Genomic DNA, 27,902 nt, shown 5'->3' on the forward strand with positions numbered 1-27,902 from the left:
CAGGAGGTCCTGACGACATGTGCCCAAGGTGGTCAGACCACAGTTTGGTTTTATACATTTTAGGGAGACATGAGACATCAACCAACATGTGCAAGATGAACATTGGTTCGGTCTGGAAAGGCGGGACAACTGGAAGCAGGGAGGGGACTTCCAGGTCTTAGGTAGATAATAGACAAATGGTTACATTCTTTTGAGTTTCTGATTAGCCTTTCCAAAGGAGGCAATCAGATATGCATCTATCTCAGTGAGCAGAGGGATGACTTTGAATAAAATGGGAGGCAGGTTTGCCCGAAGCAGTTCCCAGCTTGACTTTTCCTTTTAGCTTAGTGATTTTGGGGCCCCAAGATATGTTCCTTTCACATTTTCCCCCTTTTCTTTTTTAAAATCTTTTGGAGAAAGCATCTTAGAAGAAAATGAGTCTCTGGTCTCAGGTTTTTGTCTGGTCTTTCATGGCTAGGATGTTTTATTCCTGTACAGTTAGGTCCGGAATTATTAGAAAAGCTCATTTTTAGAAGGTTGTGAAATCTCTTGTCCTATGAAAAGAAAATAGGGGGAAGAAGGGAGAAAAACAACAACAAACAAAAGAACAATCTGGGAAAAATCAATATAGGCCACATTACTCTGAAGCCCATACATTAGTAGGCAGGTATGAAAGTGGCGTAAATAGTTGCTGTTGTTTTCTTCTGAAGTTTAAGTTGCCTGGCTTCAGTTCACAGGGCTTTATGAAAGCACAGCTTAGTTTTCAGTGACTCCAAATCAGGAAAAATGGGGGGAAAATACAGAAGAAAAAATCGAAAACATTATTTTGAAGCGTTGTAGCCAAGAAAAATTAGAATTCAGTCAAAACTGTAGAAAATAATAAAAATTGTAAAACATTAGGTAAGACTAGAGTCTAACAACAGGTGTATTATAGGTTTTGCCCATAATTTTTCTTTCTCCAGTTTCCCATTTTTAATAAACACAAATCATGGCAGGACTAGTTTGCTTTATTATACTTGGCCTAATTATTTGTATTCAGTGCAGCAAGAATAATTATTTTTTACATAGGCTTTTTTTTTTGATGGAGTTTTCCTTTGTCACCCAGGCTGGAGTGCACTGACATGAACTCAGCTCACTGCAACTTCCGCCACCCAGGTTCAAGTGATTCTCCTGCCTCAGCCTCCTGAGTACCTGGGATTACAGGTGCATGCCACCACACCTGGCTAATTTTTGTATTTTTAGTAGAGATGGGGTTTTACCATGTTGGCCAGGCTCATCTCCAACTCCTGACCTCAGGTGATCCACCCACTTCGGCCTCCCAAAGTGCTGGGATTACAGGCATGAGCCACCATGCCCAGCCTACATAGGCTTTTAAATTGGCTTTGATGGAACTCTGTCTCAAATAAGACTTTTTTAAAGCTGAGTGCAGCCATGGATTCATATCACCAAATATCTATGAGTTGGGGGATCCTCTTCTCTTGAGGTTCCAAGATAAAACTTGGGGCTGGTGGGCCTGTCAGAAAGTGACATTCTTTACTTACCACAGGTCAGGAACCCTGTACAGGGGCTGTGTAGACAAACATGAGGCCAGTTTTCCCAAGGGGCTTTTATTGGCTCTGTAAGTCAAGTTTGATTCCTTAAAGGAAAGCACACCATTCCAGTCAAAGCCTTGGTAAAGTAACCAGTTTCTCCAAGTGTGTCCTCTTATACATAAAAAGAGATTCTTATTGTACTTATGTAAATAACTGTATTGCCACAAATAGCTTCCAAATTCTGGAGAAATCAGGTAGAGGAAAAAGAAATATGTTATAAATTTTGTTCATAGGAATATACTAAATTGTTAAATGCTGTTAATCACTCAAAAGAAAAGTTTCCCTGGTTCTGAAAAAGCAAAACAAATGATTAACAACATTTTAAGTGAAAAGTCAAAATGATTACTTCAGTCTTGTAATAGTTCAGTTGCTGTAGTTAATTCCTGTTCTGCTTGATATTCCTGAACATTTCAGTTCTCCATAGGTCCTGAAAGTTTTCCTTTTATTCTGATGTCACCATCTCCAAAGCTATTAAAAACTTGTATGCAAGAACAGCTGTTGCAGTTTTATAGCTTTTTTACAAAATCACCTTCTAAGAAGGACCAAAATAAGACAACAATTGTCTGTGAATGACAAAAGGTTTTAGGGCAGCCACAGTCAAAAGCACCATTGACAAGAAAATTTGTTACCTCTGTGGCACATGATAATTTAACATAATAATTATAATTATTACTGATAATGTACACTAAGTCTTATCAGAATTATAGAAGTTTCCTATGATTTGGGAACACATACCAATAACATATTTATACAAACACAGCCCAAAGAAACCCAAACACCATTTCATATTTGACAACACTTCCTATATAATTTTTATACCAAATAAGACAAATTATGTCATTTTTGGACTGTATGGAACTTAATATATTAAAGGATTAATTAGGTCAGAAAAAGACATAATTTATAATTTGATTTTGGAAAGTTTGTCAAATGTCAAAGGTTTAAAACACTTGATATCACAGGTTATTGTACAATAAGTCATTCATTTAACCAAAGTGCTAACTCGATTTCAAAAAAGGTGAAAACCTTCCTTCTTTCAGAGAAAACTTAATATTCCAAACAATAAACCCTAATAAAAACAACAGGAAGCCAATTACATTTGTTTTTCAAAATTTTATAAACAACTTATAAAATTTTAATCTTGACCATAAGATAGAATTTTCATAAGCCTTTTATAAACTTTATAGCCTTAATTTATTAAGGAGTTAGTTAATGCTTCCAGAAAACCTTGTTAATCTGACACAGGGGTCCATGTGCTGGTCTTGCATCAGTGTACTTTTGACATTAATGATTTATTTATAGAGAAACTGAACTTATTTTATCTCTCAAAATCAGCCCTTATAATCTCACACACCCACCTCTTCATGATAGTCCCTGGGCCTTGAGGAGTTGAATAGCTTTAATTTCTAGCCCTATGTCTCAGGAATGCAGTTTATTTTGAATGGCATCTTCTACTGGATCTGAAGATGGAGATTTAGTTCCTGTCAGTGTTTAAAATTTAGCAGGACTTGGTGTTCTTTTTAGATCCAGGAGTCAAAGCCCTGAAACTCAATGTCACAAGTACTTTAAATGCGCACACAGAGAGATACATGGATGTAATAAATTTAATTTTAAAAAACATTAATCTCATTTTTTTCTAAGCAAACCAAAACAATAATAGTGTAACAACTTGATTGCATAAAAGTTTTTGGTTTTTAAAAAAATACACCCTCTTAGGCTGGGCACGATGGCTCATGCCTGCAATCCTAGCACTTTGGGAGGCCGAGATGGGCGGATCACGAGGTCAGGAGATCGAGACCATCCTGGTTAACACAGTGAAACCCCGTCTCTACTAAAAATACAAAAAAATTAGCTGGGCATGGTGGTGGGTGCCTGTAGTCCCAGCTACTCGGGAGGCTGAGGTGGGAAAATGGCATGAACCCGGGAGGCGGAGCTTGCAGTGAGCCAAGATCGCGCCACTGCACTCCAGCCTGGGTGACAGAGCAAGACTCCATCTCAGAAAAAAAAAATATATATATACATCCTCTTACTGTGACTTACACAGACCATTCATGACATGCTTGGACTTTTTGGGTTGACCTGAATATCCCTCTTTCATAAACAACCACTCATTTTACTGTAGGACTAAATTGATCATACAGGATTCTGTCTCATATAAAATTACTTCTCTTTAAGCTTTCTTACCAAAGTAAAACCCTTTTATTTTTATAACTTTCTTTACATCTATTTCCTGGTTTCTTTTACCTTGTTTTATATATGACCTTTAAATAAGCTTTGAATGAGACAAAAATTGCTCACCTTTTTTTAAAAGCACACACTTTTTTTTAGAAAGAATGTTTTCCTATAAATATATTTATTGGAAAATACCCAAATAATGAAATATCTATTATTTAATTTAACTTTAGATGAGTTTGCCTACAAGTATTTATCCCATTACATTTACCTAATTATTTTAATTGTTCACCTAAATTATTTATGAAAACTACAATAGTCATCATTTAAAGTTACAGAACTGCCACTGCAAAATTATTACTAACACAGTGAAAAAGATTTGACCTAACTGACTCCATCTTGCCTTGAACCTCCAAGCTGTCCTTATTCATTCCTGAGTGTAGGTCAAACTAACATTGGGAGGAACTTATAGTTTAGCTTTAAAACAAAGATGATAACAAACCCTACTGGCTGTGGACTAGACCACCTAAAACCACAAGATTAGAAGTTAATGGTAATCTTGCTAAATTCAAGATGTAGCTGTTTTTATTAAATCAATATCAGTGTCTTATTAAAGATTACACAAGCAAAAAATCATTGTTTTGGGCTTGGTTTATAGTTTTGCAACCCCTATGCCAAATCTTGACACCTTACAGTATTTGGCAGGGAGAAGTATAAAATTGCTTTAAAAATGCAAACAAAAATGTATGCTGGCAATTCTCAAGACATTTCTAATATTACTTTACCAATAATTTTAAAGCTAGCTTATTTATTAAAGATTTTACTTAAGTTACATAAACTTCAAAAAGGGTTTGATTAGTATTTTTTTCCTGATAAAGTATTTGATTCAAGTGCTTTTATTTTCTTAAGCCAGTTAATCAGAGCTCTTTTATATATTTTCAGTAGTGAAACATTGTGTATACAACACATAAATAGTCATATTAGTCATACCAATAGAAGTACATCTTGTAGATTCCTAAGACCTCCTTTTTTTCCTTTATCTTAGACTTGCAAGCTCTTGATAACCTGTTTTATTACCCTGGCAGTTGTCAATTAAATAGCCCTAAGTCTGCATATTGAAGGAAATGACTCTTAGACGAAAAATCAGACGGCAGAATTTACATCTCAAGGTATAGGCAGAAAAAGCCTGGTGGTGCTAAGGGGAGATTAAAGATGCATGCCAAATCAAACATAAAATTTATAGAAATCTATCATATGATTGTGTAAGGAGACAACTTTTGTTTAAAGATTACCTACGTTCTTAACTGGATCTCTGAGCTCTAGACAGAGCCCACACTGAATCCTGGGTCTCCACAAAGGGAGAATTACTATGAGACTAAACCATATGATGCTTTTACAGTGCACTTAAAATTTTTTTTCTTAATGAAAAAAAATTTCCTCATTAAGAAAAAATGAAGGGGAGGCAGCGGAAGTTGTACAGCAAAATAAATGTTAAATCTCAACCAAATTTTGATAGGTTTGGCTATGTCCTCACCCAAATCTCATCTTGAATTGCAACTTCCACAATTCCCACATGTTATGGGAGGAACCTGGTGGGAGGTAATTGAATCATGAGGCACGTCTTTCCCATGCTGTTCTTGTGATAGTAACTCTCATGAGATTTGATGGTTTTAAAAATGGGAGTTTCCCTGCACAAGCTCTCTCTCTTTGCCTGATGCCATCCATGTCACACATGACTTGCTCCTCCTTGTCTCCCACCATGATTGTGAGGCCTCCCCAGCCATGTGGAGCTGTAAGTCCATTAAACTTCTTCCATTTATAAATTGCCCAGTCTGGGGTATGTCTTTATCAGCAGCATGAAAATGGACTAATACAGTAAATTGGTACCAGTAGAGTGGGACACTGCTGAAAAGATACCTGAAAATGTGGAAGCAACTTTGGACTGCGTAAAAGGCAGGGGTTGGAACAGTTTGGAGGGCTCAGAAGCAGCCAGGGAAACGTGGGAAAGTTTGGAACTTCCTAGACACTTGCTGAATGGCTTTGCCCAAAATGCTGATAGTAATACGGACAATAAAGTCCAGGCTGAGGTGGTCTCAGATGAAAATGAGGAGCTAGTTGGGAACTGGAGTAAAGTGACTCTTGTTATATTTTAGCAAAGAGACTGGTGGCATTCTGCCCCTGCCCTGGAGATGTGACGAATTCTGAACTTGAGAGAGATGATTTAGGATATCTGGCAGAAGAAATTTCTAAGCAGCAAAGCATTCAAGAGGTGACTTGGGTGCTGTTAAAGGCGTTCAGTTTTATAAGGGAAAGAGAGCATAAAAGTTTGGAAAATTTGCAACCTGACAATGTGATAGAAAAGAAAATGCCATTTTCTGAGGAGAAATTCAAGCCAGCTGCAGAAATTTGCATAAGTAACAAGGAGCTGAATGTTAATCCCCAAGACAATGGGGAAAATGTCTCCAGGGCATGTCAGAGGTCTTCACAGCAGCCCCTCCCATCACATGCCCAAAGGCCTAGGGGAAAAAGTGGTTTCATGGGCCAGGCCCAGGGTTGCCATACTGTGTGCAGCCTAGGGACTTGGTGCCCTGCATCCCAGCCACTCCAGCCATGGCTGAGAGGGGCCAACATAGAGCTCAGGTCATGGCTTCAGAGTGTGCAAGTCCCAAGCCTTGGCAGTTTCCACATGGTGTTGAGCCTGTGAGTCCACAGAAGTCAAGAATTGAAGTTTGGGAACCTCTGCCTACATTTCAGATGTATGGAAATGCCTGGATGCCCAGGCAGAAGTTTGCTGCAGGGGTGGGGCCCTCAGGAGACCCTCTGCTAGGGCAGTGTGGAAGGGAAATGTGGGGTCAGAGCCCCCATGCAGAGTCCCTACTGGGGCATCACCACTAGTGGACCTGTGAGAAGAGGGCCACCATCCTCCAGACCCCAGAATGGTAGATCCACTGACAGCTTGCACTGTGCACCTGGAAAAGCCACAGACACTCAACACCAGCCCATGAAGGCAGCTGGGAGGGAGGCTGTACCCTGCAAAGCCACAAGGGTGGAGCTGCCCAAGACCATGGGAACCCACCTCTTGCATCAGCATGACCTGGATGTGAGAAATGGAGTCAAAGGAGATCATTTTGGAGCTTTAAGATTTGACCACCCCGCTGGATTTCAAACTTGCATAGGGCCTGTTTCAGCCAATTTCTCCCATTTGAAATGGCTGTATTTACCCAATGCATGTACCCCCATTGTATCTAGGAAGTAACTAACTTGCTTTTGATTTTACAGGCTCGTAGGTGGGAGGAACTTTCCTTGTCTCAGAAGAGACTGGACTGTTGACTTTTGAGTTAATGTTGAAATGAATTAAGACTGCGGGAGACTGTTAGGAAGGCATGATTGGTTTTGAAATGTAAGGACATGAGATTTGGGAGGGGCCAAGGGCAGAATGATAGGGTTTGGCTGTGTCCCCACCCAAAACTCATCGTGAATTCCCACGTGTTGTGGGAGGGACCCAGTGGGAGGTAATTGTATCATGGGGGAAAGTCTTTCCCATGCTTTTCTCCTGAGAGTAAGTAAGTCTCACAAGACCTGATGGTTTTTTGAAGAGAAGTTCCCCTGCACATGTTATCTTTCTCTTTGCCTGCTGCTATCCATGTAAGACGTGACTTGCTCCTCGTTCCATTCCCCCATGATTGTGAGGCACTCCCAGCTACGTGGAACTGTAACTCCATTAAACCTCTTTATTTTGTAAACTGCTTCAGAGGATGCAAGCCCCAAGCCTTGGCAGCTTCCACATGCTGTTGACCCTGTGAGTGCACAGAAGTCCAGAATTGAAGTTTGGGAACCTCCACCTAGGTTTCAGAGGGTGTATGGAAACGACTGGATGTCCAGGAAGAAGTTTGCTGCAGGGGCAGGACCCTCATGGAGAACCTCTGCTAGCACAGTGTGGAACGAAAATGTGGGGTGGGAGCCCCCACACACAGTCCCCACTGGGGCACTGCCTAGTGGAGCTGTGAGAAGATGGCCACTGACCTCTAAACCCCAGAATGGTAGATCCACAAACAGCTTGCACCGTGTGCCTGGAAAAGACACAGACACTCAATACCAGTCTGTGAAAGCAGCCAGGAGGAAAGCTGTTCCCTGTAAAACCACAGGGGCGGAGCTGCCCAAGACCACAGGAAACCACCTCTTGCACCAGTGTGACCTGGATGTGAAACATGGAGTCAAAGGAGATCATTTTGGAGCTTTAAGATTTGACTGCACTGCTGGATTTCAGACTTGCATGGGGCCTGTGGCCCCTTTGTTTTGGCCAATTTCTCCCATTTGAAATGGCTGTATTTACCCAATGCATGTACCCCCATTGTATCTAGGAAGTAACTCACTTGCTTTTGATTTTACAGGCTCATAGGCAGAAGGGACTTGCTTTGTCTCAGATGAGACTTTGGACTGTGGAGTTTTGAGTTAATGCTGAAGTGAGTTAAGACTCTGGGAGACTGTTGGAAAGGCATGATTGGTTTCAAAATGTGAGGACATGAGATTTGGGAGGGGCCGGGGGTGGAATGATATGGTTTGGCTCTGTGTCCTACCAAAATCTCACCTTGAATTGTAACTCCCACAATTCCCACATGTCGTTGGAGGAACCCAGTGGGAGGTAATTGAATCATAAAGTCAGTCTTTCCTGTCTTGTTTTCATGATAGTGAATAAGTCTGCAGAGATCTGATGGTTTTAAAGATGGGAGTTTCTCTGCACAAACTCTCTTTGCCTGCTGCCATCCATGTAAGATGTGACTTGCTCCTCCTTGCCTTCCACCATCATCATGAGGGCTCCCCAGCGATGCCAAACTGTAAGTCCATGAAACCTCTTTCTTTTGTAAATTGCCCAGTTTCGGGCATGTCTTTATCAGGAGCGTGAAAATGGACTAATACAAACACATTTCTAAGTGTCTAAACTACAGTCTTCCTTAAAAAACAAGGGTAGTCTCTGTTGCAATAACTATTTTAGTTAAAAAAATCAGGTACACAATACAAAATTAAGTGGTTTAAGGACTGAAACAAACTTGTCTGTTTAAATTCTTGGGGTTCCATAAGGAAAAACAGAGGTTTCTCCCCCAAAGGGAGTCTAGCACCTTCTCCATTTTCTTTAAGGAGTTTCTTTAAGGAACTCCACACTATTTATAAATAATATAAACTATTTTAGGTCCCCCGTGCAGCAGAGGGTGCAAGAGAAAGGAGAGACAGCAGAAGTAAATGAAGAAACTAGAATTGAGTCAACTGAGAAGAAAAAAACCTTTGTTCAAAAAAAAGACAAGGTTCTAAGAGAGGAAAAAAACAAAAACAAAAACATGAAGGTCCTTTAAAAACAAACACATACACACATTTTGGATGTTAACTTTAATTTATCTGACTTTCAACCATTGAGCTCCTTTAAAAAAAAAGTTTTAAAATCTCATTACCATATTGCAGCTAGGACAAATTGCTGCTATTTCAGAAGTACCAAGTATCAAACCAGAAAGGACTTGATTTAGGAACCAAACCCAGCTGTCATGCTGGAAAAAAAAAAAAAAGGAAGGCAGAACCCTAGGCATTGAACTGCACTGTGGGGTAACAGCCATTGCTTTCAGTTTGGCCTGGCTAGCAAAAAGTGGTCTTGTTATGTAAATAAAGCCCCTTAAGTAATGAAAATCAAAAATCAATCTTTTTTTTTTTTTTTTTTTGGTGGGAATTTAGCCACTTCAGAGGCCTTGTTCCCCATAATTTGAAACTTTCCTTCAGATTTGATCAAGTCAGATAGAATTGGTCAAACCCAATGGGAAAAAGACTGAAACAACAAAAACAGAAACAAACAACAAAACAACAAAGAGCAAAGCAAAACAAACAATTGCACAACTTATATCATTACTGAGTGCTCTAACAGTAAGCAGAAATTAAGACCAGCTGGCTGTTAATTTTAACTTTAGCCAAGACAAACCTCAATTCAGTTACTTACCTAGGGATGGATCTCAGGCTGAAGACTGCTCTCCACCATCCTAGAAGCAGGAAAAAAAACCTCATCTTCCCTGTTGGAAGTGAGCTCAAACTCCATAAAGGAGTTACCTGCCTCCCATCATCATAGAAGCAGGAAAAAACTTGCCTGTCTTGTGTTGGAAACAAGTAAAACTCCAAAAAAAGGGGGGGTGGTGGGAGTTGTACAGCATAAACATTAAATCTCAACCAAATTTTGGGAGATCAGGGATTTTTTGGAGGGGGTGCTTCCAGGCCTCAGTAAATTGCCCTATTGGTTTGAGCCATAAAGATAACTCAAGCTGGTACTAAGCACTCATAGGAGATTTTTTCAAAGGTCAGAGGCACCTCCACTCAGAATCCCTTTGTGATTACCAAAATATGAACCCAGAAAATCTGAGACAAGTTTCAGTTAATTTAGAAAGTTTATTTTGCCAAGGTTGAGGACACACGCCCATGACACAGCCTCAGGAGGTCCTGACATGTGCCCAAGGTGGTCAGACCACAGTTTGGTTTTCTACATTTTAGGGAGATATGAGACATCAATCAACATATGTAAGATAAACATTGGCTCAGTCTGGAAAGGCGGGACAACTCAAAGTGGGGCAGGGGCTTCCAGGTCATAGGTAGATAAGAGACAAATGGTTGCATTCTTTTGAGTTTCTGATTAGCCTCTCCAAAGAAGGGAATCAGATATACATTTATCTCAATGAGCAGAGGGGTGACTTTGAATAGGAGACAGGGAGGGGCTCATTCCATAGGCCCCTCCCCACCGAACTTGAAAAATCCTCACCTCTGAATTTTAGGGGAGGCTGATTTAAGTAATAACTGCTCTAAGCAGTTCTCAGCTTGACTTTTCCCTTTAGCTTAGTGATTTGGGAGCCCCAGTGTATTTTCCTTTCACATAATCAATTTACAGAACAAGAAAAAAGAGAAAGAGAGGTGACCTATAGCTGGAGAAGTGGAAGCTGCAGCTGCATGCTGCACGGTTATGCCACACAGCCACATTTCCTTCTAGGCTCAACGTCATTTCTAGGGTTCCAAAAATTGATGATGTTCATTCATTTTTTACACCCCTCTGTGAAGGCCCCAGTACTGGCCCAGACTGGCCAGGTACCCCACGGTGCAGAGGGATATGCAGCGGCTCCCCACAGGCCTGGCTTGGGCCACATCCATCAGCAGGCAGACCATGGTGAAGAGACCTCTGCAAAAATTTTAAGTGCAAGAGATCTGACCTAACTGACTCCATCTTGCCTTTAACCTCCAAACTGCCCTTGATCACTTCTGGGAGTGGGCCAAGCTAACTTTGGGAGAAATTTAGTTTGTAATTTAAATGATAACAGCCCTTCCCACGACTAAGCCACCCTCGTAATACTAATGAAAGGCCACCAAGTTAAGAGGATGAGAGGGGCCTGGATTCTGCTAAGATGTAGGGATAAACAATTACTCTTGTCCCAGAGGTTACAAGATTTTCAACTTCCCCAATTACTCCTGCAGATAACATCACTATTGTAGAACCTAGGATTGGACTTTTAAGATGTATTTTCAGACAGGGTCTCATTCTGTCACCCAGGCTGGAGTGCAGTGGCAGAATCATGGCACAGTGTGGCCTTGACCTCCTGGGCTCAAGCAGTCTTCCTGCCTCAGCCTCCCAAGTACCTGAGACCACAGGGACGTGCCACCACTCCTGGCTATTTTTTTTTTAATGTTTTGTAGAGAAGAGGTCTCACTATGTTGCCCAGACTGGTCTCGAGCTCCTGGGCTCAAGCATTCCTCCTGCCTCAGCCTCCCAAAGTGCTAGGATTACAAGTGTGGGCCACTGTGCCTGGCCACACTTTTGCATTCCTGACACCAGATGGCTCTACCGGGACCAGCAGACCAGCAGCTCCTTGGTAGCTCTCACCCAAAAGTGGACTCAGTGCACAAGGACCTTTTCTACACCCCTATGATTGCATCCCTAGCCAATCAGCAGCATCCATTCCCTAGGCCCTGCCCACCAAACTGTCCTTGAAAAATTCTCACCTCTGAATTTTAGGGGAGGCTGATTTAAGTAATAAGAAAACTCCACTCTCCCATTTAGCTGGCTCTATGTATATTCAACTCTTTCTCTACTGCAATTCCCCTGTCTTGGTAAACTGGCTCTATCTTGGCAGTGGGCAAGAAGTACTCATTGGGCAGTTACAGTAGGGCTGACTGGCACATGAGAGTGGTGGGACTGAGAGGCCTGGGAGCCTCCACCCTGCAGGGTCTGCTGATTGGTATCAAACCAAATAAACCACAAGGTCGGGGGAAGCTGCAGGGGAGGAGCAGCAGGAAGGACACTGTTCTGTGGCCCAGCCCAGAGCACCCCCACATGGTGTCCATGGCCATTCTAGTGTACCCTGACCTCTCACACTACTCCAACCCTCACAGCACACCTGCTGCCCTCCTGGGGTGCTGGCCTCCCTTCAGGGAAGGGGAGATTCTGGGCTTACAAAGACCAGGACAATGGCCAGAGGAAAGATGTGACAGGCCCTGGCTCCCTCCCTGCTGATGTCTTCCCTCTGCAGCCAGACTCCAGCCACTCCTTGCTAAGGGTCCAGCCTGATTCTGCTGAGCAAGGAATGTTTGTGAGGCTCCCAGGCTGGAGGCCAATGTGGTCCCTGTGTCTTGGTGGGATCCTGTCACCCTACCCCCAGGGCTACCCCAGAACAGGCAATTCAAAGAAGAGGGCTGTACCCAGGGCTCAGGAGCACAGACTCCCACCAGCCCTCCTCAGCTGGCAGAGCCCACCTGACCTCCCTGGCTGGCTCAGCTCTCACTGGGCATCTGGAGTCCTCCCCACCCCAGAGTCAGGCACAGCCAGTGCAGGTGCCACCTGCTTAATGCTGTCCTGCCCAGGCGCCCTGCCCAAGCCCCCAGCCACTCCCCAGCTCAAGGGTCAAGGGGCACAGCCTCCTGGGTGCTGATTTGCTGCAGCCAAGAGCCTTGAGCTGCCCCAGGCCCTCCTCAGTGAAGATGAGGCCAAGAGCAAGCAGAAGACCTAGGCCTCCCAACTAAGTGCCTCTCTCAGCAGAGAGCTGCACTTCTGGAGGTCAGCTGCGGAAGCTCCTTGCCCTGCCAGCCTCGGGGTCCCTTCTGAGGCTCTGCCTGCCCCAAGGTGGCTTTGAGGAGGCCTCCCCTGCTCAGCCTCCTATGGCGGCTTCAAGGGCTTCTTGAGCCACAGCTGGAACCATGGGGGCTGCCCTCAGGTGACCACCCCCAGGCTGGATCCCTCTCTGCCTTTGCATGCCCCCTTGAGATGGGTCCTAGTAGTGCCAGTTCTCCTTCCCCAGCAAGGGCTGCTCCAGGTTACTGCCCACACAGAGACCCTGGGGACCAGCACTGACTTCAGAGGTGGCACCATTCAATGTCCTCTAGTGGTGACCTTGCTGTGACCGCTGGCCTGGGGCCCCTGAAGAGCTGACACCCCACAGACACCATGTGTTAGGCACTGTGTGAAGGTTGGGCCCTGCAGAGTGGCCCCACACGAATCAGACATTCTTGAGAGTGAAAGGGGTGTTATTAGCAATTGTTCCAGGACAACAGGTGCCACCAGGACTGCCCAGGGAAAGCAGGACACAGCAGCACCCTAGGCACATCCACCTCAGCACAGCAGGAGGCTGGCAGACACAGCCAAGGCAGATGTCTCCAGAGGCCAAGAAAAGCGGGGAATCACAGGCAACAGGCAGGGGAAGGGATGCAGTGAGATCCCAGGCTGTGGAGTAAAACGGCTCCGGACTCCAAACTGTGTCCCTGACCATCCCTGCTGCTCCTGAGCCTCAACTGCTCATCTGTACAATGGGGATGGCACTAGTGACCAGCCAGGTGTCAGGAAGATTAGATAAGTGCCACAGAATGTGGACAGCACAGGTCCCACTAAGCGCGTTCTGCCTCCTGTCTTCTTGGGTCCTCTCTTCCTCCTTTGCTGCTTTTACACTGGGTATTTTCCAATGTAGCGTTTTAATTTAATGATTTTTTCACTCTATTTTCTAAATTATTTCTTTAGTGGTTGTTCTAGGGATCACCATTTACATTTTATCAGAATCTACTGTGGATCTGCGCTAATTCTACCTTCTTAATCTCCATTTGAGGCAATATTGGCTCACCCCTTCCTTTAGTTTTACCACCTTTAGTTCTTCAATCATGTCCTTTAGTTCTCAGACCATATTTATGATGGCCACTTTGAAACCTTTTTCTTTTAAATCCAGCATCTTACTCTACATAGGTAGTTTCTATTACCTGCCTTTTTCCCCAGTGTATAGGCCATACTTTCCTGTTTCTTTGCATGCCTCATAATTATCTGTTGAAGAGTGGACATCTTAGGTAACCTATTGTAGCAATTCTGGATACTAGCCAACCCAATCTCAGACTATTTTCCTACTTTCTTTGCTTAGTGACCAGCTAGACTATTTTAGTGGCATCCATTTCCCACCCCACATCCCAGAGCCTCTGACTGCATCTCAGTTTTTCTCCTCAGGAGCACAGCCTAGGTTATGCCCTCAGTCACCCTGGATGACAGTGGTTTGAAAGTGTTGCAAAGCTCTTTGTTGTTTTCCCTGACCACATCCAGCTGTTAAGCTCCACTAATGATCAGCTGATTGTTCTGTTTAAACTGCTTCACAGGTTAATCCAATCAAATTTGGGCTCCTTTGAAGGGATAGTTCCTGAAGTTAGTGTTTGTGATACTTTTACCAGCCAGACTATATTTTTGGCATATATCTCCAATAAATCTACTGATTTACCACAGTTGCCTTTCTCCATCACTTCCACTGTTTTTGAGAGCACCCTTAGGCTTGAACTTCACATCCTTACAAATGAAGTCAGTTCCTGTGGGGAGGAATGTGGAGCTCTCTGTTCTATGGCCTGCTTCTCCAGTGGCTCTGCCGTTTGGGGTGGGGACAACGCTGTATCTCCCCAACTTTGGGAGCTGAGCGTTTGGTGGGAGGGGAATCAGCAATACCAGGTGTTCTGGGCTTGCCTCTCAGTGTAGACTCCCCACTCTACAGGTGAAGCCCACTAAGAGTTGTTGCCTGCCTCCATCCCTCACACCCACAGCTCACCTCATAAATCTATCTTGTGCCCAGCACTGCCATGAGGCAGAAGTTCTCCAACATTATGTCTCTGTGGAAGCCTCTGGGGAGGGCTTAGGAATTGCCAACTCCTCTAGTGAAGTCACTGCCACATCCGCGCAGCACACAGAACTTCACGGACCTGAAGCAGGCTGGAAACTCTGCTCTCTCCTTACAGAAACTGGAGGAGCTCAGACATAATTGCTGGAGAGGGCATGAAGGCACAAGGCCTGGGCTGACTTGCACTGCTAGATGAGTCCTATACTCACTCACCCATCCTCTACAATCATGCTACCCAGACCCCTTGTAACTAGTTGTACTCATATGACTGGGACCTGGCTCGAGGGACAGGAGCAGAAGTGGTGTGCTTTCTGGAGGCAGACACAGTGGTGGGGAGGCAGACACAGTGGTGGGGATTAGAGCAGGTGTCCTGTAACATCTTCAACCCTGTGGCTCCCTTCATGAAATACACATGGCATGTCTTGGTCTGTTTGCATGGTTATAAAGTAACACCTGAGGCTGAGTAATTTATAAAGAAAAGAGGTTTATTTGGCTCACAGTTCTGCAGGCTGTACAAGCAGCATGGTGCCAGCATTTGCTTCTGGTGGGGGCTTCAGGGAGCTTCCACTCATGACGGAAGGCAAAGGGCAGCAGCATCACATAGCAAGAGCAGGAGGAAGAAGGGAGGGAGGTGCCACCAGGCTCTTTTTAACAAACAGTTCTCACAGAAACTAATCAAGTGAGAACTCACTTGTTACCACAAAGATGGCACCAGGCTATTCATGAAGGATCCATCCCGATAACAGGAACATTTCCCACCAGGCCCCACCTTCAACACTGGGGATCAAATTTCCATATAAGATTAGAAAGGGACAAACATCCAAACTGTATCATGGCAGAAGGAGCCTGGCTCTGCCAGACAGTTGAGCTGTTTCATTAGCCCTGATTTCCCTTCTCAACTAGTATGTGTGCAAGCACTGAACTGCTATCTTGCGTACACAACTCCAGGGTCCCTCTGTTATTGGCGCTGGGTAGGGTATGGTGGGAATCCTCCAGGCCCTGGCCATGAGGTGCTCCGTATTTATTGCCTCTGTCCGGGTCATGGTGGGCAGGTGGGTCTGCCTCCCCTTCTGGACCAGGTGAACCTTAACAATAGGTGCATGTTTTACTCATTCCAAGTCCCCCAGGGGCCTGGCCCATGACTGGCACTGAGGAGTTAGGGGCAATGGCAGAACTGCCTGGACCTGAAGCAGGCTGGAACCTCTGTTCTCTCCTTACTGCCTGTCTCAGTCAGTTTTGATTGCGATAACAAAATACCACAGGCTAGGTGTCTTAAACAACATAAATTAATTTTTCACAGATCTGGGGACTGAAAGTCCAATATCAAAGGCACTGGCAGTCTGGTGTCGGCTGAAGGCTTTCTCATTTGCAGATGGCAATTTTCTATTTTATTTCCTTTTTTTTTTTTTTTAGCAATAAGGTCTTATCATGCCTAGGCTGGTCTCGAACTCCTGGACTCATGCAATCCTAATGCCTTGGCCTTCCAGTGCTGGGATTACAGGCGTGAGCCACTGCACCCAGCTTGAAGATGGCAGTTTTCTTGTATGCTCACACAGCACAAAGTGACCTCGCTCTAGTTCCTTCCTTTTCTTATAAGGACTCGATCTCATCGGCGAGCCCCACCCTCACGATCTCACCTAAGCCTAGTCACCTCCCAAAGGCCCCACCTCCTAATACCACCCTCCTGGGGGTCAGGGTTTCAACATATAAACTTTGGGGGGGGACACAAACATGCAGTCCTTAACACCATCGTCATGGAGATGGAGGCCACAGACCTACCAACACCCATAACCTCAAGGGCACTGGTGGGGACAGAGGGGTCTTACCCAGCACTGCCATGTGGCAGAAGTTCTCCAACATTATGTCTCTGTAGAGGCCTCCAGGCAGCACTTAGGAATTGCCAACTCCTCTGGTGAGGTCACTACCACATCCTCAAGGCCCACAGTCTCCTGAAACAACAGAACTTTGCTGCTTCATGGAGGAGCGTCAGTATGTCCACACCATAGGGGTGTAGTCACTTCCCTCTGCCAGGGAGAATGGTGGAGGAAGAATGGATTCCTAGTGTATTTTTTCTCTTCAGAACTGACAGCCCATCAAGGTACAATGAAATAGAAAAAAGGCTGGCCAGGTGCCAAGTCCCAGCTCAAGCCTGGCAGCTCCTCCCACTGAGCCTCATGGTCACCCCAGAGGACAGGCCTTCCTTTCACACACATCAGAAATAGGGAACCCAAGACCTCGAGAGAGGAAATGGGCCCAGGGACATGCCTTGGCTTGGGGTGGCTTAGGACCAGGGCAAGACGCCTGACCCCAGAGCAGACCATGCTGACACTGGGCAACACATTCCCTGCTCTGGACCTCAGTTCCTTTGGCTACTAAGGAGGCCCAACGATCCTCGCCTGTGTGGGACGGGGCTACCTGCAGACATAGAGGGCCTTTGAGCACCTCGTAGCTTGCTTCCCAGCCAGCCTGGGTGTGGAAATGGCCGTGCTGACAGGCTCTCTGCGATAGGGCCCAGCCATGGCCAGTGGGCCTCCCACAATCTGCCCCTGGGTGCAGGGCCTTGAGCAGGGAGGCCATCGTGCTGCCTAAGAGACCAGGACCCAGCAGGGGCCATACCCAGATTCAGAGGCTCAGGACCACCACGGAACTGAAAGGAGGTTCAAGGCCTCAAACAAGAGTGGCCCCTAAAACAGTTGGTAAAGGAGTGTTTTCACCTCTGTTTACAGTTGAGTGCACTGCTCAAGGTCATGCAGCTGGTGAACAGCAGGGAGTGAGCAGTGGAGAACGTGAGGCTGGTCATTAGGAGCAGGTAGCCCTGGGTCTCCCTCTGCCCTCAGCAACTTCACACCTGCCCCTCCCTGGGCCCCAGTCTCATCCCTAAACAGGAGTGACCCCACCTCATTTCATGTCATCATCACTGCCCTGCAAGGGAAACAACAGATGTGCAAGGTCTGAGGGTCCATGTGTAGAAGCAGAGGCCAGAGCTGACACCACATGGGCAAAGGAGTGGGCGTGTGGGGCTGGGAGCTGGGGCTCATGTGGGAGGCTGGTGGCTGCCATGGCTGCAGCTCCTGGCCCTGCGGACAGCCAGGCCTGGGGTCTACAAGAGCTGGGCAGGGAAGAGGACAAACAAGGTCTCACAGGTCCATTCTCCCCAGCCTCCCAGTAGGCAGCTGAGTCCAACGCAGTGCCCGAGAGCTCAGCCCTTGTCAAGGAGAGTCCTCGAACCCAGAGGGGGCTGGGTAAGCAGCAGAAGTGCAGAAGCCCTGCCCAGGCCCTGCCTCCCAGGCCACCACCCACCCCTCACGGCTGCCACACCCACCAGCCCATGACTGTCCACATCCTGACCCCTACCTACCTCATGACCTCCCCGACCCTGATCTCCACACCTGACCCCAAAGCACATTTTGTTATTTTTTGTTTTTAGAGATTAGGTCTCTCACTCTGTCACCCAGGCTGGAGTGCAGAGGCCATAACTCACTGCAGCCTCAAACTCCTGGGCTTGGGGATCCTCCCGCCTCGGCCTCCTGAGTAGCTGGGGTTACAGGCACATGCCACCACACCTGGCTCATTTTCTTTTACTTTCTGTAGAGATGGGGTCTCCCTATGTTGCCCAGGCTGGTTTCAAACTCCTGAACTAAAGTGATCCTCCTGCCGTGGCCTTCCAGAGTACTGGGATTTCAGGCAGAAGCCACCACACCCGGATCCCCAATAAGCACATTTATGTGGGGCGTGAGGTGAGGTCCCTGAGGTGCAGTGTGGACGGGTCTTGATTTGTCCCAAGTTGTCGCTGCCCTGTGCCACAGCCTCCCAAGAATGGATGCAGTCTACACCTTCTGCAAACCCCTGCCTCAAACCGTGTCCCTCCACAAGCACATCCAGCCACTGGGACCCTGAACCTCCTCCAAATGGACTTTAACTGGGGACAACTGATGACAGTCCTCCAACCCCAGCGAGCTGGGGAAGCCGTGGGCAGGGGCTGCGACTTCCTTTCTTCCAATCAACTCCACCACTAGCAATCAATCACTTGGCCCACTGGATAAGAACAGTGGCCTGCGACGTCAGGGGCAGTCCAGGTGCTCTCCATCGCATGCTCAGCCATGGCTGAGCACGAATGAAGCATATGGAAGTCACGCACAGACAGGCCCAGGGCAAGGTCTGCTCTAGACCCTCCTATGCAGGAGACAGACAACTTCCAGGACAGCGTGCCTGGGGTGCTCGCAGAAGGCCAGGCTGGCACAGGCAGGACAGGTGTTCTGTAAACCAACCCCAACGTAGAAGGGGCTGAAAGACCACCTACCCATCCTAACCCCTGAATTCACCATGCCACCCTGAAAGTATGGCCTCTCCTGGGCATCCCGAGGGATGGGAGCTCCCAGAGTGGAGGCTGCCTGTCCCGAGTGAGGACACAGGAGCGCCCTCAGGCCTGAGCACTCAGGGGTGCCACCCCAAAGATGAAGGCAGTGGTGGAAAGAGGTTCTATTAGCAGGCTGGAAGCAGCCACAGAGGTCCCAAACCATATGACGCAGCACCTGCTACCCCACGAGCCACTGGAAAACTGAGGCTGCAACTTGCAGGGGCACTGTGAGAAGACAGGGAGTGGCTCCAGCCTGGTGCTCACAGATAAAACGCGGAGGCATTTAAACAGGACCAGAGACTTTCTCGCTCTGCTCTGGCAAGCTCCAGGGCTTCCCAGGGGCCTCAGCAGCCCCAGAAACAGAGTGAAGAGACACAGCCTCACAGAGCTGTGCTGTGGTGTCTGGTACAGCGGGGCTCCACCTGAGAGGGCTTGGGGAAAAAGATTCTGAGGCTAAAACATTCAACCACTTGAGCTTCTGAGACGGGTCAGGAAGTGAAAACAAAGTGCTCGGAGGACACGGCAGTCTCCATAAAGCGTTCTGGGGGACAGGACCGAGGCAAGAGGTATGCACCAGGCAGCTGGGCCCAGCAGCTCAGAGATGAGTACGCTCTGGGCTCCCTAAAAACCTCACTCCAGCAGCGAGCCCAGGTGAGGAGGGGCTGCAGGAGGAGCAGGGCCCGAGTCCCCTGGGTGGCACAAGGGATTCCAGCCACAAGGGCTGCACCTAGAGTCAGGCTCCAGGCCTTGCTGCAGTTGGTCTGGAAGAGGGGCACCCTGAGGACACAGCCACTCACTGGGGACAAGCGCCTACCCATCAGCCCAGCACAGTCAGCACAAGAGCAGATCAAGAACGGGAAGAGCTCAGGTCCTGAAGAGCTACAGTCTGACAGGGACAAGCCATGTCCAGAGGACTCAGGAGAGCCAGCCAGGAGCTCGGCCAGCTGGCCTGCCCATGCCCTCCCCAGCTCCACCCACCCAGGATGTCCTACTGTTTCAGAGCCCTCGGGACATGTTCTAACCTCCTGTGTTGCCTCAAGCAGCTGCAATCCAGCAGTCTTGGTTAAGAGGCTCTATTAGGAGTGACACGTGAGCCCAGAAATGGCACAAAGTACATGATGTGCAGAAGTTCCCCAGACAATGAAGCAAACAGTGCGGGTGACACCACAAAGACAATGGGACACAAATGGGAACTGGGACTGTCGTTCAGCACCGAGATCTTTAAAAACTATTTGGCTTTTATAATCTTCACACATGCATTCAAAGCAAGAAACACACACTTCCAGGACATAGATAGGGCTCTGTCAGCAATGACTTTTGCCCCTGTATCTACAGAGATGTGAAAGTACGAGAAACCACAGCGAGCCAAATCCTCTCCTTCATGAGAACAGAGGTTTCAGTGGAATCAACAGCAGACGCTGGAATGCAAACTACGTGCTGACTCGGCCAAATGATATGAATTTAAGAGAGGAAAAGAATTCAAGGGCAAAGCACTGAAAATAACATAGCAAGAAAAACCTATTTAGGCCGAGTGCTGTGGCTCACACCTGTAATCCCAGCACTTTAGAAGGATGAGGAAGGAGGATCGCTTGAGGCCAAGAGTTCAAGACCAGCCTGGGCAACACAGTGAGACCCTGTCTCTACAAAAAAAATAAAAAGGCGCGGTGGTGCGTGCCTCTAGTCCCAGCTACTCAGGAGGCTGGGGCGGGAGGATCACTCAAGCCAGGGAGGTCGAGGCTGCAGTGAGCTGGGATCACACCACTTCACTCCAGCCTGGTCAACAGAGTGAGACCCTGCCTCAAGAAAAGAAAAGGACAATGCACCTATTTTATGCTCGCTGAAAGACGAGGCTAATCACTGTGGACACAGGGCGTTCTGGAATCTCAGCTGCAGGCAGTGAGTGTTGCCCGTGAAATGGAGATGCCGCAAAGCAACTACAGACATGGAGAAAATAACCACATCCTCTTACAACCGCCTCTGTGAAAACTGACCAGGACAGACAACTCCTCCCCAAAAGTATTACTAACGTGCTAACAGCTGGGGATAAGAGCACACATACTGCTAGAAATCTAAGCAGCCTGTTTTACTGTTTTCAGTGACTTACGTGCAAACCTAAGACTAATCTCTGAATGTCTGATCAAGACGTATTCATGTAAAGGCCATAAGTATGAAATTCTGGGCAACATGGTACATTGGACTCTGAGCCAAAATGCCAAAATACCACACAGGGTCCGTGTCCTCTATCCGGGTGATGAGCAGGGCCTGGTCAGCCACTCCTACTTTCTTCCCAGAAAGGAACTCTACCAAGTCAACTCTCCGTGGGGCCCCCCAACATCTTGGGGCCAGAGCCCATGGGACAGGATCTGCGGGTAACAGAGGATGGTTCCAGAGTCATTCTGCTGAATGAGGCCACAACTGAAGTGAGATGTGCGGCCTGTTCAGCCGCTAGCAGGCCAAGAACTGAGTCCCAGCTCTCGGGCCATCGGACCTCAGGCAACCGTGCTCGGGGTCCACCCAACACGGGGATGGCCGCCAGCCCAGCAGATAGAGCCTTCTGAGACGAAGCCTGTCCAGGGGCGGTGGGCATGGCCTCCTGTCGGCCTGGAGGGCAACTTCTCTCCACGTGGACAGACTGACATCTCCACCCTCTGATACTGCAATGATCAGCCAGCGAACACGAGACCAGATCGGCTCAGCCTGGCCCCCATTCCAGCCAGGGTGCGGCTCTGGCTTGTTCTAGGCTAGGGTGGACCCTTCCAAAACATTTCCTCACTTTCGGATGACACGGCAAGTGATAAAATAAAACCTGTATTGACAGGAACCTCGGGCACAGACCGTCCTGGGCACCCGAGCCACACCCGTGGGCGACCCACTCCTGGAAGGGCTCTTGAGTGTCTGCACATGCCCTCCTGCCTCAGGTGGGGTCGGGGCACAGGACCATGCCACTCCAGGGTGTGGGGAGAAACAGGGCCAGTGGCCAGGGCAGGGCAGAGAAGCCATCAGTTGTCACCTGCTGTGGATGAGCAGGGCAAGGGAGACTGAGCTGTGGCCCCACAGCCACCAGGGCCCTCCTGGAGGGCTTCAACCTTGACCACAGCCCCGAGGGCACCACGCCGCCTCCTCACCTGCTGCTGGCTCCGGAACACGGCACGCAGCGCCCGCAGCTGCCCCACTTCCTGCGCACTGAAGCATGGCTGCCGCTCCGCAAAGCGCAGGACTGCGTCAAAGGCCACGGCCGCCTGCTCCCAGGCCACCTCCTCGCCCTCACCAGGATCTCCTCTGCCGTCCTGGTCAGCTTTCGGAGTCTTTTCTGAACTCCACACAACCTCTGCTGGCGACGTGGCAGCAGGGGGCCGTCCCCCTTCTGCCTCCCTTCCCGCTACCCCCCAGCTGGCGGCCTGGCGCTGGCGAAGCTGGCCCGGGCAGGAGGAGCCTTCCTTCACAAGCTCCAGGATGTGTGCAAAGGACTTGTTGTGGGGCTTCACTGGGAAGCACTCTGCCTCCAACTCCTCCTCAGAGGAGGAGCCTTCGGCAAACGCAACCGACGGCCACAGCTTCCTCCAGGCCCGCCTGAAGACGTGGCTAGGGACTGCGTTCCAGGCACAGGCCACGCTGAATATGGCATCGTTCATGTTGTAGCGGGCGTGGGGGCCCTGCAGGGGGACCGGAGGGTTAATGAAGTTCCTCATGAAATCTCTCCGAATGCCCTGCTCCATGGGCTGCACCAATGAGGCCACGCTGGCAGGCAGGAAGATGGTGAAAACGTTACTGGACACCAGCTCGGCCTCCTGCGGGTGAGCCCGGGAGCTGTCCAGCAAGAGAACGGCTTTGCTGTCTTCCGGCAAACCTATGGTTCTGAAGTGCTCTCTCACCGAGGGCACAAAGATATGATGGAACCAATCGGAAAAAATCTCCTTGTCCACCCAGGCGTTCCCCTGGGCCTTATAGGCGACGGGCAGGTGCTGGATGCCTTTGAAAGCCCTGGGACCGCTGCACTTCCCGATGGCCAAGGGCTTGAGCCTGTGGGAGCCCGTGGCGTTGGCACACATCAGCACGGTCAGCCGGTCCTTGCCCTGCTTGGGGCCAGGCACAGCCCCGCCTTCCGGAGTGGGATTTGGCAGGCACCGCCAGAAAAGGCCGGTCTCATCAGCGTTGTAAACCTGCTCGGCGGACAGCCCGTGCTCAGCAGCCAAGCTCCTGAAAAACGCACAGAACTGCTCCGCGGCCTGGTGGTCGGCTGACTGCTTTTCACTGGATGCATCTAGCTTTTTAATGCCGTGTCTGGCCTTAAAGCGCCAAAGCCACCCTCCGGAGAACACGCAGGGCTCAGTGAGCTGCATCTGCTCGTAGAAGTCCTTGGCCTTCTCGATGAGCATGGGGCCTGACACGGGGACGCCCTCGGAGCGCTTCCCCAGGAACCACTCGTACAGGACGCGGTCCAGGTGCTCCAGCTTGGGCGTGTGCAGCGTGCGCCGCTGCTCCAGCGCCTTGTTGGAGTCGGAGCTGGCGAAGAACCGGAGCAGCTGCGCCTTGTGGGCCCTGATGTCGTAGAGGGTGGACATGCCCACATTGTACTCCTGCATCAGTGCCTTCCGGCTCTCGCCCTTCTCCAGGCGCGTGCAGATGTCAATCTTCTCCTTCAGTGTCAGCACCACCCTCTTCCGCTTCTCCCCTCTGCTCTTCCCGGCAGCCGGCTTGGAGGCCATGGGGAGGGGTGGCTGGTCCTAGCACTTGCAGGACACACGCCTGGCCTGGGCTGCTGCCACTACTTCCCTCTCCTCCTGCTCCCCTTCTGGGGCTCCGTCTCTCCCTCTCCACTCTGCCTGCCTGCTCTGCTGATCCTGAGCACAGGCCCCAGTCCCTCTCGGGTTTCTCACTCCACACGCTGCACCTCCTGCCTCAGGTATCCCTGGTCTTCCAGGCTCCACACACCTAGGCCTTGGCTCCTGGCAGTGCAGTCAGCTGCCAATTCTCTCTGTGGAGGAGGTGACCCTGTCAGACTCCCCTCTGCTGCTCCACACGGCTGGAACTCCGGCCTTCTCTGTGGATACTATGGCAGCGGCTCCCCTCAAACTGACCAGGTTTGGGGTGGTAGAGGTTTTACCGCATAAGCAGCAGGTGCCTCTCCAGGGTCCACAATGGTATCTCCAGGCACAGCACTTCAGGGGCTGGAAAGCAGAGGGAACAGAGAGGAAAGTGATGGGGCGCGCCCAGGACACACATGGCGTCCTCACGACTCTCCTCACCGGGACACTCCAGCTGAAACTCAAGGGCTGTTGAGAGGACCCATGCAAGTGCTGGCATGCACTGTGGGGAGAGGGTGGCCCCGGGAGCAGCCCAGCCTGCCCAGCCCCTGCACGTGCTGCTCAGGTGGACTCTGCCCAACTCCCACCAAGCAAACTGAAGCCATTCGCTAGGGCTGGAAACGAGACGTGGCTCTCATAGGAGCAGCCCGGCCTTTCCTGGGGAAGCGCTCAGGCAGAAGCCATCAGAGGAAGCCAGGAAGTCCGATGCTGGGCGGACCCAAGAACAAACCTCCCACCCGCCCAGCCTAAGCTTCTTGCTGTAACTGCTCGCTGGGCTACCTGAGCTTCTCAAATCCCTTATTCCTCCCTGAGGAGCAGAGGCAGGGGTGGAGGGATGCAGGGAGGAGGAACTCCTCACTACCCTCCCCGCCAAAGATCTTACAAACCCCATCTGGAGCAGGTCTCTAAACTCCTCTCTCCGACACAGAGCGCCAAACTGCCTCTAGAAAACAAGGCATTAGAAGTTTCTCTAGAACAGCAGGCCTCAAGCTCCTCCAAGGGCTAGGAGGTGCTGCCAGTTTCTCAATCACCCTCTGACCTCCCTGACTGCCACACACTCAGATGCGTCTACAAGGAGCCGCAGCAGACAGACAGCTGTGACCATTCCAGGCCTCTTCCAGAGGGGACCCCTCAAGCTCAGCTCAGGGTACCCTGCCCCAGGCAGCCACACTGAGCCGCTGGTCTCTGAAACCCCAGGCTCTAGTGCTGCCCGCCCACCTGGCTCCACAACCACGGCAGGGCCGCAGAGCCTGCCAGACATGGACGGACACGGAGACACACACACACACACACACACACACACACACACACACACAGCCACCCAACCTCACTCACACATACACGCTCAGAGGACACAGGAACAAGCTAGCCCAGAGCAGGAACTTCTTTAGCATTTGCTAATTTGGGAGGCTCTATGAACAAATGACTAATTTACGCCAGAAGCAAATGCCAGGAAACCTGATAGCCCCCTGGGAGCAAGGGTTCTTCCTGGGCCAGCTGTGCACCCTACGAAAAGCTTGCTTTTAAGTTTCACACACACCTTTGACCAATAGGAAGAAAAATGACATAGAAATGTCACAGCTCTAACCAAACACATCTTTCTGTTGGAGTTTTGAACTAACTTCTCACCCTTCTCCTATATAAAGACAATGCGGGTCATTCTCATCCCTTCTAGGTGGACAATTTCACCCTCTCATAACAACTCTGCGAAACACCCCACAACCCTCCCTACACCCGAGCCGACTGGCAGGGCACAGAGGGCGCACCCCTGTGAGGCCAGGGCAGCCTATGGAGTCAGGGCCTGCAATGCACTTCACCCAGTTAAGACACTGCTGAGGGTGGTGAGGGCTGAAAAGCTGTTTGCCCAAACACCGGGCAGCTCAGCTGGCCGCCTCAGTGTGGCGTGCGTGCTATGGGCAGGGGTCTCCCTGCCCTCACTCCTCCGCAGGCCAGCAGTACTTGAGGATGGACTCCTGGAGTTCCCACCTCCCTCCCGCGTCCTTACCATAGCTGCTTCTGCCAACTCCATGCAGAGCGTGTGGCCAAAGGCCTACTTACATGTGGAGCGCAGAAACGCAGCCCTTTGAGGCCAGAGCTCAAGGGAAAGGAGGAGTGCAATCAAATGCAGCAAAAGCTCCAAAGAAAAATTATAGGCTTGTTGGCTGCCACCTCTGGGTGAGTACTGTCCTCTTCCGGAGTCAGTTTCCTGGTCTGCAAAATGTGGGCTGGTCCCTTAAGGATCCTGCATTGTTCGCTGAGGGTGACGGTGTGACGTGTGTGCGGTCTGGCACAGCACAGTGAGCTATGTGCATCTCACCATGGGGAACAGGAGGGAAGGCAAGGCCACAAACCACCCTCCAGATTTTTAATATGAACCCGCTGTAGAAAAACTGGGGGAGACACGGAATCCCACAGTAGCTTATGAGGGACTAACTGGGGACTGGGATGCAGAGAAAAGCTTCCTGGAGGAGACTCAACACCAGACACAGCTCCTCGCGGACACGTCTCCATGCCTGACATGCAGGTGTAGCAGGATGACACAAAGTGGCTGAACTTGTTTCATAAGGAATATCTGAATTTTATTTTTAAAGGAAGTTTTTGGTCTTGCAAGTGGGACAACAGTGTGTTCTGCCAGTTTGTGTCATCCTGCCACACCTGCACGTCAGGCATGGAGACGTGTCCACAAGGAGCCCGTGTCTGGTGCTGAGTCTCCTCCAGGACGCTTTTCCCGGCATCCCAGTCCCCAGTCAGCCCCTCACAAGCTACTGTGGGATTCCCTGTCTCCCCGAAATTAGGGTGGTTTCTTGCCTTGCGACTGGAGAGGAAGCACTGATCCCCAAGGCCACGTGAACACGGGATGAAACGTGCAATTCTCCTGTGCCCAAGGCACAGACAAGAAACGGGAGGCCTGAGGGGCCAGCGCTGGGGCTGACTCCGTCCTGTGTGAGGCTAAGAGGCCCTGAGAAACGCGGGGGGAAAGCGGGAAACAACCTTCGCAGGGGCATAGTGTGTGTGTGTGTGTGTGTGTGTGTGTGTGTGTGTGCGTGTGTGTGTTGGGGGGTATGGAGGATATGAAGGAGAAATACTCAAAAAACAAGTCGCATTCTGGAGCTGGGGGAAGAGGTGAGCTGGGGGTCAGAAGGAGAGTATGGGACAGAGAAGGAGGGGACAGAAAGCCTGGGGCCGTGCGCCCCGCAGAGAGCGCCCGAGAGCCGGCGCCGAGTTCCGCTAGGAGCCCTCCACGCTGGGGGATCCTGGCGCAGAGACAGCGCTGGGCTACTGGCGAGGCTCGCTTAAAAAGCGTCCGTACCCCAGGGTCCCCGTTTGTGGGTAGAAATTCAGTCTGGGACAAGAACAAGAACAAAAACAGAAATGGAGAAAAAAAAGTCTCGGTCTGGTTTTTTAAGGGCAAGCGGACCTCGTGACCAAGCCTCTCTGAGAGTGGAAGCGCAGGAAGGGTCCGGGCTGGGGCGTCAAGGCCAGGCCTGGCGGCAAGGGGTGGGTGCGGCTCGGGGGCCGCGCGCTCAGGCCGCGGGGGTCGCGCGGGAAGCACAGGGCTTCGGGTTCCGAGCGCGGCTCCCGGGAGGGGGCGCTGCCGCCCGCGGCTGGGTCCGGCCCCGCAGCCTCGCGACCAACCCCGCCCCGCCCCGCGCGCCCGCCTGCCCAGACTGCGGCTCCCGCCCGCGCCGCCCGCGCCCACCAGGGACCGGAGAGCGCCCGCACCCATCCGGCCCGGCCCGGCCGCCCAGCGCCTCAGGCCAGGACCCTACTCACCCTGCTCACCCGGAGCAGCCGCCGCCGGCCGGAAGTGCCGGCCACTCGGTTCTCCTCCAGTCCGCGCCTCGTCGCCTTCCCC

The 27,902-nt window shown here is 49.7% G+C and overlaps 1 protein-coding gene across 10 annotated transcripts, besides 4 other annotated features; it reads right to left on the reverse strand.

Moving 5' to 3' along the window:
* On the reverse strand, positions 1,571–27,856 carry JRK (Jrk helix-turn-helix protein). Of its 10 annotated transcripts, none has more exons than NM_001279352.2 (4): positions 27,821–27,856; positions 22,367–24,409; positions 16,711–16,833; positions 15,349–15,969 (listed from the first exon to the last, which is right to left on the reverse strand). In NM_001279352.2, the coding sequence occupies exons 2-3, from the start codon at positions 23,945–23,947 to the stop codon at positions 16,744–16,746; spliced, it is 1,671 nt and encodes a 556-aa protein (NP_001266281.1). In that variant the 5' UTR covers positions 23,948–24,409; positions 27,821–27,856; the 3' UTR covers positions 15,349–15,969; positions 16,711–16,743. The 10 variants fall into 10 exon arrangements, with proteins under 10 accessions (XP_011515657.1, NP_001266281.1, XP_047278333.1 ...); XM_047422377.1 differs by adding an exon at positions 24,934–24,989 and having other exon boundaries at positions 15,349–16,833; XM_047422379.1 differs by lacking the exon at positions 27,821–27,856 and adding an exon at positions 26,105–27,568.
* Positions 19,527–20,047: an enhancer, noted in NCBI's record as "H3K4me1 hESC enhancer chr8:143743050-143743570 (GRCh37/hg19 assembly coordinates)". NCBI's record gives its function as "activates a minimal SCP1, AML or CMV promoter by ChIP-STARR-seq in naive H9 embryonic stem cells {active_cell/tissue: H9 hESC(naive)}" and the evidence as "EXISTENCE:reporter gene assay evidence [ECO:0000049][PMID:30033119]".
* Positions 20,048–20,565: an enhancer, noted in NCBI's record as "H3K4me1 hESC enhancer chr8:143743571-143744089 (GRCh37/hg19 assembly coordinates)". NCBI's record gives its function as "activates a minimal SCP1, AML or CMV promoter by ChIP-STARR-seq in primed H9 embryonic stem cells {active_cell/tissue: H9 hESC(primed)}" and the evidence as "EXISTENCE:reporter gene assay evidence [ECO:0000049][PMID:30033119]".
* Positions 24,769–25,625: an enhancer, noted in NCBI's record as "H3K4me1 hESC enhancer chr8:143748299-143749154 (GRCh37/hg19 assembly coordinates)". NCBI's record gives its function as "activates a minimal SCP1, AML or CMV promoter by ChIP-STARR-seq in naive H9 embryonic stem cells {active_cell/tissue: H9 hESC(naive)}" and the evidence as "EXISTENCE:reporter gene assay evidence [ECO:0000049][PMID:30033119]".
* Positions 27,513–27,802: a silencer, noted in NCBI's record as "silent region_19602". NCBI's record gives its function as "represses an Ori minimal core promoter by ATAC-STARR-seq in GM12878 lymphoblastoid cells {active_cell/tissue: GM12878}" and the evidence as "EXISTENCE:reporter gene assay evidence [ECO:0000049][PMID:35858748]".

Source organism: Homo sapiens, chromosome 8, assembly GCF_000001405.40.
Source record: "Homo sapiens chromosome 8, GRCh38.p14 Primary Assembly".
Taxonomy (NCBI): Eukaryota; Metazoa; Chordata; class Mammalia; order Primates; family Hominidae; genus Homo; species Homo sapiens.

Excerpts from the sequence above, each read along its gene's own strand:
- JRK (NM_003724.4), bottom strand. The coding sequence starts at position 23,947 with ATGGCCTCCAAGCCGGCTGCCGGGAAGAGCAGAGGGGAGAAGCGGAAG.